The 13,449-nt window shown below is 51.4% G+C and overlaps 1 protein-coding gene across 9 annotated transcripts in view, besides 1 other annotated feature; it reads right to left on the bottom strand.

The window, feature by feature from the left end:
- Nucleotides 8,376–13,449, bottom strand: part of ESRRB (estrogen related receptor beta) — a 191,061-nt gene continuing 185,987 nt past the window's right edge. For 3 of the 9 annotated variants that reach the window (XM_047431079.1, XM_011536547.3, XM_011536550.3), the window contains 2 exons: nucleotides 11,761–11,999; nucleotides 8,376–10,350 (listed from right to left, as the gene is read on the bottom strand). In XM_047431079.1, coding sequence (XP_047287035.1) covers nucleotides 9,988–10,350; nucleotides 11,761–11,999 — 602 coding nt within the window. In that variant the 3' untranslated portion in view covers nucleotides 8,376–9,987. Of the gene's footprint in view, nucleotides 12,000–13,449 lie in introns of all 9 variants that reach the window. The other 6 variants (NM_004452.4, XM_011536554.3, NM_001411038.1 and 3 more) reach the window with 4 other exon arrangements.
- Nucleotides 9,694–10,233: an enhancer, noted in NCBI's record as "H3K27ac-H3K4me1 hESC enhancer chr14:76966323-76966862 (GRCh37/hg19 assembly coordinates)". NCBI's record gives its function as "activates a minimal SCP1, AML or CMV promoter by ChIP-STARR-seq in primed H9 embryonic stem cells {active_cell/tissue: H9 hESC(primed)}" and the evidence as "EXISTENCE:reporter gene assay evidence [ECO:0000049][PMID:30033119]".

The raw sequence follows: 13,449 nt of genomic DNA, 5'->3' as shown, positions 1-13,449 counted from the left end.
GTTTCCACATCTGCCCTGAGGCCCTCCCCTCTGTTGGCCTCCTGTCCCTGCTTCCCCCCACCTAGTGACCTCAATGTGAAGCAGAGGGTAGCCTGAGACATAGAATAAAGGAAGTCACAGGTCCCTGGCCAAGACCAGGCAAGGACCACCCAGGCTTTCCTCTGTACCTGACACTGGTGTCTCCTTCCCATTCCCCATCCTGCAGGACACCCGTGACTAGGATAGGAGAGCAATCTTAGCCAGGACAAGCCCCCTATAAGGCATGGTTTGTGAGACACAGAACATCTGCTCCAAACATTCCTGCCCTGCAAACGTCTCCATGTCCCACGGTGCAAGCCAGGCGTTGCCTCCTAAGATCCTTCTGCGTTCTGTCTGGGAATATGGGATTCCTTCTGCCTAAGCTCTGACTTCTCATTCCGTACAGTTAAGACTTTTTCCTCTTAGTAAGTCTGAGCCTTCACTCCAGGGACCTCTAGGATGATGATAAAAATGTCACCATAATATAAGTGCCTAAGGTTCGGCTGAATTTTTTTCTCCAAAGACACGTGGAAAGGAATAAGGTAGGAGGATTTTTGTTCCCTGTAATGTAGTCTGAAGGCAGCAGCATCATCTCAGCTCAGTTACTTCTGCAGGGCATGTCTTTGGGTAAAGTCACTTAACCAGCAAACTGGCAGAGCAGTGCCTCCTCTGGTGGCTCCACTGTCACAGAGCACGGGAGCTGCTCGGCGCAGAAGTCTCCAAATGCATGCTTGCGTCTCCTCTCTCCCTTCCTGCCCTGATGGAGATGTTAGTAAGCTGACCTGGGCTGGGGACAAGCTGTGCCTGGCAGGGATGAGGGGCAGACATCTGTAGCTGGGGGAGGCTCCCGTGAGGCCATGGGTATCTTACAGTAAAAGGAGGGTTGGTGGGGAGCAAATACTTGTTAAGTGCCTACTATGCACCCAGTCTTTTAGACAACAATTGCATAGTCTGAAATATGACATGGTGGTTAGGAGAAGAGACATTAATTGAACTCATACAGATCTGGATTCAAATCTGACCTCTGTAACCTCAAGCAAGTAGAATAACCTTTCTGAGCGTTGGTCTCCCATAAAATGAAGGCAGTGGCATTTACAGTGGACACTCATTGTGAGGAATGAAGGGCCTAATATGTGTGAAGTGTCTGGGATATGGGAGCATCCACTAATGCTGCCCATTAGCATCCTCCCTTGGCGTGATCAGCTGCATTGCACAGATTGGGAGCGGAGGTGGCTGGCCCGTGGCCATGCAGCCAGTGAGTGGCAGGGCAGACTTCTGGGCCTCAGCTAGTCTGAATCTGAAACCCATGTTTCATCCCATAGCCAGTCCATGGACAACAAAACGCTTGACCCACTGTCTCCAGGTAGGGGAGACAGATCTGACCCTGTCACTCCCCTGCTTGAAACTCCGCAGGATTTCCCACTGCTCTTGCCATGTTGAGCAGTGTCCTCAATGATCTGGCCCTTGCAATTTCCAGCCTTCTCTTTTCTCCCTCATCCTCTGCCCCCGCTCAACCAATCAGGTGGTCTTCTTCCAGTTTGTTGGGCAGGCATGGAGCAGAGCAGCCTCTCTCTCTCTCTTTCTCCCCTGGACAGCATTTCTCTTCTTTCTTCCTGAAACACTGTTCCCTCCCTCACCTGGTTAACTCCACTCCTTCAGGACTTGGCCTCAACCTGCTGCCCCAGGGCTGATGTCCTTGGACAACTGTTCTTCACCATCCCTACCACTAAAGGCCAGGTTGGTGCCTGCCTCCATTAAAGTCTCTCTTATATTGCTAAAAGTCTCCTGTAATAAAATACACTCGTGAACCACTAGTTCAATGTTTACCTTCCCTGCTGGACTCTGAGCTCCCACCATACCCCGCAAATCTAGCCCTGTGCCAGATGATGAATGAATGAGAAATAGATAATGAGTCAAATGTCAAGGAAACACTGGAAGCCATTCTTCTAGAAGGGCCCCTGTGTTCCACCTAGAGGTCCAGGAAGCACAGTGTGGGGGCATCAACTCCTGTTATCAAGCTCTTCCCCCCAATGCCACCTGGGGCAAACATCCCATGCTCTGCATGGACAGTTTCTGTTCAGACTCAGCCTTCAGGTCCAAGGAGAGACTGCTCTGGTAGAATTAACTGGAAAAATTTAGGAGCATTGGAGGGGAGAGGGCACACCTTAGGTTGGAAAGGCCTTGCCTTGCTGGGTGCTTGCTGAAACAAGACTTAAAACAACTGCTTGGCCAGGCGTGGTGGCTCACGCCTGTAATCCCAGCACTTTGGGAGGCCGAGGCAGGCGGATCACGAGGTCTGGAGATCGAGACCATCCTGGCTAATACGGTGAAACGCTGTCTCTACTAAAAATACAAAAAAATTAGCCAGGCATGGTGGCGGGCGCCTGTAGTCCCGGCTACTCGGGAGGCTGAGGCAGGACAATGGCGTGAACCCCAGAGGCAGAGCTTGCAGTGAGCCAAGATCGCGCCACTGTACTCCAGCCTGGGTGACAGAGCGAGACTCGGTCTCAAAAAAATAAAAAATAAAAATAAATGAATAAATAAAACAACTGCTACAACCTTTGAGCCTGGAGGTGGGTCCCAGAGGGGCACATCCTGGTTCAGTAGAAGGACAATGCACACAGCAAAGCCTTGGGGCAGGCAAGGGCAGCTCTCTCAGGTTCACAGTTTCTGTTCTTGGAGTGTGAAGTGAATTTGCAACTGAGGTAAGATAAACGACATAGGTGGTGAGGTTTCCAGTCTTCCTCCATCACTCCCGCCCCATATCCTCTGCTGAAGAAGAGATTTTGCTCACTGGATCAGCCTCTAGCCCTTTAACCTGTGCAGGAAAATGGGAAAATGTTTAAGTGGCTACGCAGTCTGGATCAGGGATGGATCAGTGAGGGAGGGATGAGAAGAGGGGAGTAAAGACTTGTGGCACTTTCAGTTGTTTTGGGGTTTGCTGGGTTGTTGTTTCTTTGCAAGTGACTGGCTGGGCATTAAACATGGCATTGGGGTTTCACCTGGGACATGTATTAAATAGGGATCTTAAGAATGAGGTTGATAGGTTGTCCTGCCCTCTTGGTGCAGTGGGCAGTCCATCAGTGTGATAATCTGAAGAAAGGGGTTGATAGCTGGGTGCGGTGACTCACGCCTGTAATCCCAGCACTTTGGGAGGCTGAGGCGGGTGGATTGCTTGAGGTCAGGAGTTCGAGACCAGCCTGGCCAACATAGTGAAACCCATCTCTACTAAAAATACAAAAATTAACTGGACATGGTGGCAGGCGCCTGTAATCCCAGCTACTTGGGAGGCTGAGGCAGGAGAATTGCTTGAACCTAGGAAGCGGGGGTTGCAGTGAGCCAAGATTGTGCCACTGCACTCCAGCCTGGACAACAGAGAAAGACTCTGTCTCAAAGAAAAAGCAAAAGAAAAAAAGGGGTGGGGTGGAAGTACAGACCACATGACAGGTGGGCTGTTCTCAAGTGTTCCTGGGCCAGCCCAGGCACCTGGTTGGCCCCCTCCTTTTTGCCCACCCCTGTATTAGTCTTGCTCCAAGCTTGTCCTGTCTGCCTGTGGGAGGAGGGGATGGAAAGCTCTGCCTGTCCTTCTCCACCACAAGGGAAGTGGAAGAGACTCTTCAGTACCCAAGTGAAAGCCCTGGTGCCTTGTGGCTTGGTCCTGGTTTGTGACAGCTGACAATGGGATCTTTGCATAGGTGGGTGGGACATTTGGGCTGATAAGGGAGAGATGTCTGTAGAAGTGAGATCAATGGCCTGGAAAAAGTAAGTAGGAGAAAAGGTCTCAAAAGTCTCTTAGTTCTTCTCCCCCACCATTCTGCAGAGAAGGCTTCACTTCTGACCATCAGATGCTGGACTTCAAATGGCCAACCCCAGGAGCCTCTGCCCATCCCAGGCAAGGGGAGGAAGTAATGAGAGAAAACCCAGAGGTAGACCAGAAGTGTAGGGACAGACAATCAGGGACTGGGGCCACTTGGGGAGAGGAAGAAGAGGATGTGGAGTCACCTTTGTTCTTAGCACACTTCAACGGGGGCCTCTTAGGTCTGCCAAGAAGGGTCTCCACCTCTTTGAGACCTGAAGCCACAGGTGCTGCCTGGCTTCACAAAACAAAAAGTTGACATAGACAGGAACCAGGCTGGGGCAGACCGCAGGACCAGAGCAATCTCTCCTTGGACCTGAAGGCTGAGTCTGAACAGAAACTGTCCATGCAGAGCATGGGATGTTTGCCCCTGATAGAAGTGTCAGAGTAGAGTGAGGCCAGATGGGGTGCAGATGGCACTGGGGGGAAGAGCTTGGTTGGACCTGAGGGCTGAGTCTGAACAGAAGCTGCTCATGCAGTGTGTAGGATGTTTGCCTCTGATAGAAGTGTCAGGGTAGAGTGACGCCAGGTGGGGTGCAGAAGGCACTGGGGGGAAGAACTTGGTAACAGGAGTTGACGCCCCCACACTGTTTCCTGGAACTCTGGGTGGAACACAGGGGCCCTTCTAGAAGAATGGCTTCCAGTTTTTCCTTGATAATGCCCAGAGTACATCTAAATCAGGGTTTCTCAACTTCAGCACCACTGACATCTGGGGTGAGATAATTCTTTCAGTGGGGGGCTGTCCTGTGCCCTGTAGGATGTCTGGCAGCATCCCTGGCCTCCACCCCTGTAGCTATGCTCAGTGTGACAACAAAAGATGTCTCCAGACATTGCAAAATGTCCCCTGGGGGGAAAATTGCCCCCATTTGTGGACTCCTGGCCTAAATCTAGTCAAGCAGTTGTGTACTTGCCAGTCCAGCGAGCTTTTCAGCACCCCATACTGTTTTTGAAAAATCAAGGGTGAAGTTATAGTTCTGATTCTTCCAGCAAGGGTCTTTTCCCCAGAAGCTCCCTTTTGGGTTATTTTGCTCAGCTGACAAATAATGACATAAAAGGTGATCGCTAAGCTCCTTCTACTCCACAAATCTATGTTCACCGGATTAATTTACTTTATTGCCTGTGAGGACAGGTAGAGAACAATGGAGGGGTTGGCTGGGTGTGAGAAGGAATTCTCAGCTGGGAAAGACCACCAGTGCTACATCTGCTATTGGGGGAAGCACATTTCCTGTTTCCTGTTTAGCTGGTCCTATGGTCTAAGGCCTTTTTGGCGATACGTCTCCCCTGGACCTGTGACAGCATCTCACCCTTAACACGACTGATTCTCCCACCCAGTCCCCAAGCTTGCCCTCCCTCAGTCTTTCCCATCTCAGTGGATAACAACCTTACTCCTTCCAGTTTCTGCGGCCGAAATCTTTGGAATTACCCACATCTCCTTTCTTTCTCTCACATTCCACATTCAATTTATCAGCAAATCTGGTGGCTTCAAAGTAGATCTAGAACCTAAGCATTTCTTTTATTTTTATTTTTATTTATTTTTTTGAGACAGTCTTGCCGCGTCACCCAGGGTGGAGTGCGGTGATGCGATCTCGGCTCACTGCAACCTCCGCTTCCCAGCTCAAGCTATCCTCCATCTTCAGACTCTCGAGCTGCTGGGACCACAGGTGCAAGCCATCATGCCAGCTCATTTTTGTGTTTTTTTGTAGAGACAGGGTTTCACCATGTTGCTTAGGTCTCCAACTCCTGAGCTCAAAGTGACCCACTCACCTTGACATCCCAAGGTGCTAGGATTACAGGCATGAGCCACTGTGGCCAGCCCCCAGTGCGTCTTAACACCTGCTCTGAAACATCCCTGCTCCAAGCCACAGTCACCTCACCAGTGGTCTTCTAGCTGTTCTTCCTGCTTCCACCCTGTCCTCTTGGAGCGTGTTATTAACACAGCAGCCAAAAGAGGAGAGGGACAACCAAAGCCCCCATGACAAGTTTGGGGCAAAACTAAGATGGGGTGGGCACAAAGGTGGGGCCAGCCAGGTGCCTCTGGTGGCCCAGGAAGACTTGAGGATGACACACCTGTCCCATGTACTTCCACCCCGGCCCCATTCTCAAGACCACTATTTAAATACATGACCCGGATAAAACCCCAATGCCACGTTCGATGCCCAGCCAGACACTTTCAAAGAAACAACAGCCCAGCAAACCACAAAACAACTGAAAGTCCTATTAAAATGTGTGATCGTGTCACCCCTGTATTCAGACGCTTCCACTGGTTCCTCATGTAATCTCTTAGCCTGAGAGCCACACTTACTATGGCCTTGTGCCCCTTGTTCCCCAGGGCCTCCCCCATTCCATTTCGCCCACACTCCTTTCCTTGAAGCTTGCTGAATATGCCAAGCATAGTCTTACCCCAGGGCCTTTGCCCTGGCTGCTCTCTCTGCATGAAGAGCTTTCCCTCCATACACCCACAGAATCCTCACTTTCTTTAACTTTTATTGTTGAACGTAACATCCTCATTGAGACTGCTCTGACCACTCCCTTAAAACTTGTAGCCTCCTACCCATTTCTGATCACCCATACCTTGCTTCCCCCCAACTCACTTACACTATATACATTCTAACAAACTATATAATTTGGTTATTTGCTGTGCTTATTTTCTCTCTCTTCCTCCCAGTAGACTGTCTGCTCCATGAAGAATGAAGATGGATTTTGTTTGTTCTTGTTTCTCTTTTTTTTGAGGTGGAGTCTCACTCTGTCGCCCAGGCTGGAGTGCAGTGGTTTGATCTCAGCTCACTGCAACCTCCGCCTTCTGGGTTCAAGCGATTCTCCTGCCTGAGCCTCCCGAGTAGCTGGGCCTACAGATGCGTGCCACCATGCCTGGCTAATTTTTGTATTTTTAGTAGAGACGGGTTTTCACCATATTGGCCAGGTTGGTCTTAAACTCTTGACCTCGTGATCCACCCGCCTAGGCCTCCCAAAGTGCTGGGATTACAGGTGTGAGCCACCGTGCTCGGCCTTGTTTGTTCTCTTTATGGAGATAGTCTCCATGCCCAGGATAGGGCCTGGAATGGGTAGATCCTCAGCAAATATTTGTTGAATGAATGAATATTAGTTGAATTTTTCCCCTTTCTTTGAAGCTTCACTTTTTTGCTAACAAAAAAAAAAAAAAAAAAAGAGAGAGACTAGAGAATGAATGGAGATGGAGGTATGGATGAGGGTTAGGTCTTTGAAAATATGAGCTATTAGTTGGTCTGATCACAATTACATGTATAAATGGAAAAGGTAGCACAGAATATCCTAATATACAGATAATCAAATAAAGATTTTCATTTTGACTGCATTACGTGATATTATGGTTGACTTTCTTTCCTAATTACTTTTTTCTTAAGATAGCAACATAAATAGCAGCCGTGTGTGCATTCTTTTAAGGTGAATTACCTAAAAAGAATCTACAAATTGAGTACTTTCATTCCCACAAGTACATAATGCATATCATGCATGAAGGTGTTAAATGCAAAGATAACCATGTGGTTCTTATCTTCCAAGAGCTGCAGGAGACTCACAAACCTCTCACTGAAAGTTGACCAGACCCTGAGCTGTTCACGTATGTGGGTTCTGTGGGCATTATGGTTGGCTGTCTTCTAGACTTCTAGACTTCCAACCTACTCCTTTCCCACAGTGTGGCAGCTAGGCCATTGAGTGGAACTGATTCTACCCCAGGCTGGTCATGGGGATTCACTAAGGGATAGATACAAAACCCGGTGGAGTTCAGAAAGAAGTTCAGACATTTTCCATGGTTGCAGAAAGAGATTTTCTCTCTCCCACAAGGTGTGAAACAAAAAACTGGCAGCCTTCTTGCTACCAGGAAAGAGGCCAGCATAAGGATGAAACAAACACGCAGAAGAACTGGGGGAATCGGAAAAGCTGAACCATAACCCTATTGACTTTGTAAACCCCTGGATCAAACCCTGCCTGATGCCTACCCCACTTCCGGACTCACATATAAATCCAGTAAGCCAGTATAAGCTAAGGTAACTTTTACTTGAAACAAAAGGCATCTTGAAATGTCTTCTTTGATCTCTTTCAGGCCCTCCCCTCTGCTTCTCACTGGTCCTGAGTGTGTCCTGGAATAACATGTGGGCTGTGCTATCCGGTGTTGTGTGTGTCACAGATGCAATTCAAAATCCTAAGGTAATGAATTGGTTTTCATTCACATATATCTGATATCTCATTTCTCTGGCATTAATGAAAGTAATCGATTGCCTTACCATTAATATTAAAAGCATAAAAGCAACAGGGAGCTTCTCAGACCTGCAGCATACTTCTCCAGTTGCATTCCTGAGCTTTGCTGGTGAACATGTTTTAAAATGACACCATGGGACTTCCCAGGGAACACTAAGGCTGGGTTGCCTCTCCCAACGGCCTCTCCTAGCCTCAGCCTGAAACCCAAGGGCAGTGCTGTCTGGGGGACAGTCAGCCCAGAAAGACAATGTGTGAAGAAACTCAATAGTTCCTTTCCTTATTTATTAGATTCCAGATACATGGGACCAGGATGGAAGCATCCTAGGGCATTTGATTTACATGGGGGTTTCTGGGAGAACATATACAGAGGCAGAAAGACATACAAGTAGGTGATGCTGCAATGGGGAACTGCCATTTTAAAAAATATATACATCTTAAGAAGCCATTCCAGCCATATTATCATTATTAGAAAATAAAACAATCTTTCCACATAGTGCTTTTCTTTGGTGCTGTTCCGTGAGCATGGACTCTGGACCCTTCAGTCTTCTTGTCACAAGCTGGTCACCCTCCCCTGCCACTTCCATCTGCACAGAGGGAGGGCAGAGTCTATGGGGAAAGGAGGCCCCCCCCACCGACACAGGTGGGTGCAGGTTCCAGCTCCTCTAAGGCGCTGCCATGGCCTCCCGACTCTGCTGGAGTCTTGAGAGCCTCTTACTTGGTTCTTAAAGTGTGGCCCGAGGAAGTTCCCTATATGCAAAGATTGGTTTTCACACATGACGAGTTCACAAAGTGACAAAGCCAGTCTGGAAACTTTAGAACGTATAAGGACAAGGGGACCAAACAAAACCCAGCCATACCACCTTCTCCATGGTTGGATTTTCATGTTTTATTTCTTGGTTCATTTCAAATGACCTGTATCATGAGAGTACAGCTGAGACAGGCTGTTTCCTCTTTACAGATTTTCCAGAAATGGCAGGTTTAGGGTAAACTTGAGATCTGTTCCACTGGGGGAAGGTTCCCCTAAACTCTCCTCACTTCACCACCTTCCACTAAGTCAGTCCTCTCCCTTCCCCGGAGAGGGTCCTCATCTGGCCAGGATTCCAGCTAAGAAGTTGGCCCCTGAACTTCTTTTCTGAGTGTCCAATGGACCCCTTCAGTACCAGGAACTTTCCCATTGGATGGAGTTCCATTGTTACTGACACATTTCCTGTTGTGATCTGAGTTTTAAGTATAAAAGCAGCTTCCACCTCATGGACACCAACCATCAGGACTTCCGCCCCACTCTGCTAGAGGGGCTCTGAAGTGAGGTCACTCGCAGCAACACTAGATCCAGTGAGGTGCAGCTGCCTGGTGTGCAGAACACCCACTTGCTCCAAGCCAGATGTTACATGGTGAGCCAGAGATGCTTTCCCTAGAAAAGACAGACAGCAGATGCCAGCTGGGCATGATGCCCTGCCGCCTGGGTCCTCCAGCTTGAGCAGGAAGTGACAGAGCAGGGTGCTACCTCGGCCCCGCTGCAAGGACACAGCACAGTGAGAGACTGAGGGAGTCCCAAAGCACACACCCCAAGGTCTCTACTGTGAAGGTTTCTCCGGAGCAGAACCTCAGGGCAGAGCCTCTAAACACTGTGCTAGACTTGGTTTGTAGCTGGTGTTCCTTGATGCCAAGAAGGGGCCTTTGCCCCAAATGTGTGCCTCCACCCAAATGAGGGAAGATGGGCTGCATGGAGGGCTAGGGCCGCAGCATCCTGGGTAACGGCTCCAGTGCCTACTCATCAAGTGACTCAGACCCGATTCCCCACAGGCAAGGGGAGCCGGAGGGACACATCACTGGTCTGGGAGGGCTCTTGAAATCCTTAACATTTTCTGTGTGGGACACCATCAGAGAGCTGCTCTGCAGTTTGTGGATTTCAGCCAGCCCTCCCTCCTGTCTGGGATGACCTCAGCACGTCCCAGCCCAGAAGCCCAGGCCGGGAGGTTCCTGGGGTAGAGCCAAGGAGGTGGGACCAGGGCTTCTATGGAAAAGCTGCAGAAAGTTACCTGGCCTCCTGGTGTCCTAGTGCTGGGTGAGATCTGCCTGCCTCTCTCATTGAGGGGGGTTGGACTAGAAGGGCGTGGATTGGGGATCCCCGGGGAGTTGCTCTGATCCCTGCTTGTGAAGGCAGCTGATTGGAAGGGGCATTTTCCATCATGGCTTGACATTCTTTCATCCTTGGGAGATCCTCTAAGCTGCTCTTGGCCAACCTGTGAGCACAAATGGGTGTTCAGGGCTGCCCCTTGAGTTAGTGAAAACTTTCACGGCCATCCACAGAAATAGAGTGACCCACTGTCCCCGTGTGCCTGGGGTAGAGGAGTTTCCTGGGATAAAGAAACGTCCTGGACAAACCAAGACGGTTGGTTACCTGGCACAGCCAGGGGGACTGCAGGGGTCCTGCCAGAGAGCTGGCGTGCTCGCGGTGCCCAGGGGAGCTACACCAAACCTCTGGTAGCCCAAGTGTGGTAGGAGGGCACCCCTCCTGTGGCACTGGTACACTAGCCCTGTGGCATGATGCTGAGTGCAGGGAAGGGAAGCCAGGAAGGATGAGGCAGGCCACCCCGCTGAGTTCCCTCCCTTTGGGGCTCCCCTGCCTACTTATCTCAGCTGCTCGGCCTTTCTGTGCTTGGCAAAGATGAGTCTGGGCCTCTGTCCATCCTGTCCTGATCCTCCCCCCGGGGTGCTCTTGGATGGAGCCAGGCTCCTGAGCTTCTCACAGGCTCACTTGGCCTGGACCTGCCCTTCAGGGAGAGGGGGAAGGCAGGAAGAGGGAGAGGGTTCTTGGGAGGATGGTGTGGTCCCCGCTCTTCTCTGTGCCAGCGCGTTCCTGTCTACAGCCCCTGGAGTCGCTGTGGCTGGCTGAACCCACTGGGTGAGTGAGCTCTGAGGTAGGGTCAGGAAGTAGCGGGGGACTCCCGGGGGGAGGAGAAGAGGAGGAGGACAGGTGGACACCGGCGCGGTGGGTGACAGGCAGGGGGGTAGGCCCCGAGGGGTGGGGTGCCCAGGAAGCACTTGAGCTCTAGCCGCTGCTCTCCTGTGGGTACCCCCTGGCTGAAAGCTGAGTGGAAACTGTGGAAGGTATGGGGCCTCTTGACCGGCCCCAGAGGATCTCAGAGCAGGTAGGACCTCTGGAAGAAAGATACTGTTGTCCCTTGCGTACCTGCCCTCTGCGGAAGGAAAACCTCCAGGTGGTATCCAGCCTGAGCAGTGCCCACCCAGGCCACAGATGGGGGAGGGGGCAAGGGAGTTAGGAAATGCACATGCTGCCTCTTGGTGGCTCGGTGGAGGGGAGAGGGCACTTGCTCCAGTGGCCTCCACTCCTGAAGGGAGTCAGCCCTGGCCCAGGCCTCCGCACCGTCCATGGAGAAGGAAAGACATACCAAAGAAAAAGCCAGTTACAGTCGAGCCCCACACCCCTGCCCCCCCATCCCCGTCCCCCACCCCACTGCACCCGGGAGTCTGCACACAGCCAGGAGGTGAGAAACCCCCGCCTCTGGGACAGCTCAGAGCCATGATACAGGGGTTGAAGGTGGAGGCTGGTGGCTGTGGAGGTCTCCACCTCGGTCTGTCCGTTTGTCTGTCTGTAGGTGGGCATTGGTCCGTGTGCGGGGCCATCACACCTTGGCCTCCAGCATCTCCAGGAAGAGTTTGTGCATGGGCACTTTGCCCTGCAGTTTGACGCTATAGAAGTGCTGCACGGCCTTGGCGGCCGTCTGCCGCAGCAGCGGCAGTGTCAGCAGCAGCTTGCCCGTCCTCCAGGGCTCCTCATGGCGCTGGCTCAGCTCGTAGTCCTGCAGTGCCTCGTGCAGCAGGTCCTGCAGCTTCTGGACAGCCTCTAGATCCTCGATGTACATGGAATCTGCAGGCACAAGGACGAGCATTAGCAGGCTTGGCCAGGGAGTGCTGCCTGGTGTGGGGGCCATCTTGGGGTCCAGGAGGCAGCATGGAGGCAGGCAGGGGTATCTTCAGAACCCTCTCTTCACAGAGAGCCAATCTGAGGCCCAGAGAGGTCACAGAAGCTAATGACAGAGCTGGGACTCAAACCCAGGGAGAGACTGGCGTCTACAGGGGACATTTCTCAAGAGGTCACCAGGGGGTGGCAGCAGAGACCCTGGAGCCAGACTTGGAATCCTGTGTCCCTTACTTGCAGGCTGTGTGATTTTGGGCAAGTTATTAACTTCTCTGAGCCTCATTTTCCTCACTTGTAAAATGGGATAATAGCCATGCCTACCTCAAGGGCTTAAAGGAGTTAAACAGGTCAAGGGTTTATAACAGAACTTGTCACAAGTCAGTGCCCTGGTAGCGGTATCACCCCTACCACCGCCCCTAGCCCCATCACTACTATCACCATGACAACCACTGCAGCTGCCGCTGCCAGGCACCAGCTCCCCAAGTCTTCAGTGCAATCGCTAACCTGACAAAATTCTGGTTATAGGACACAGAATACAGGCACAGATATAGGGGCTGAGCACTGTGTCAAGGTGGCGGCATGAGGCACGGTGATGGAGGGAGCTATAGGGAGTTCTCTAAAATCTTGGGAAAGGTTTTGAACTTAGGCCATGACCTAGGGGTTCAAACAAAATTTACCTACATCCCAGCACGGCAGGGAGGCACCTGCTGACGGCCACGTTACAGCTGGGTCTAAGCCGGCTGTAAAACACAGGAGTGAGGACTCACAGGGTGGTGGTGAGGGTGACTGAAGCAGCACATTACCCAGAGCGTGATCAGCACCTGGTCAATGTCAGGTAGTGTTATTCCTGTGGGGACTCAGGCTGGGGGTGAGTGTCCTTGCAGGGCTGAGTCTTCACTGGCCCCACACCCAAGCCTCCTCCACATTTTTCTGCTCCCTGCTACCAAGGCAGTGAGCACTCCTTCGTCATCAGGTGGGAGATGAAGCAAGGCCCTAATCCTACACTCTCGGCCACTTACAGAGTGTGTACCTAACATGGCTGGGCATTGCCATGTGGGCTCCTGACTCCTGCCAGCTCCCTCTCCCCGCCCTCTCCATCCTCCCCCGACTCTCCCCAAGGAGGACAAAATTGGCAGCTGCCTTCGACCAAAAATGAAATAAAATAACATTGCAAGATTAATTTCTTTGCAATCCATCAGCCGGTCTGTATCGATGGCATTGATAAACTGTTAATTACAAAATCAATGGCTATGAATTTTTCCTGCTGTCAGGGAGCTTTGGGGATGGCTGGGATGTGGGGTAAACCGCAGCCAGCAGGCTCCCAGGGGGCCATGGTGTGGGGTCACAGTCTGCCTCTGATGTGCTTGGGCACTTCTGCCCAGCGTCAGCCCCCTGAGCC

The sequence above is a fragment of the Homo sapiens genome, chromosome 14, assembly GCF_000001405.40.
Source record: "Homo sapiens chromosome 14, GRCh38.p14 Primary Assembly".
In the NCBI taxonomy this organism is placed as follows: domain Eukaryota; kingdom Metazoa; phylum Chordata; class Mammalia; order Primates; family Hominidae; genus Homo; species Homo sapiens.
This window is presented reverse-complemented; position numbering and strand designations above follow the sequence as displayed.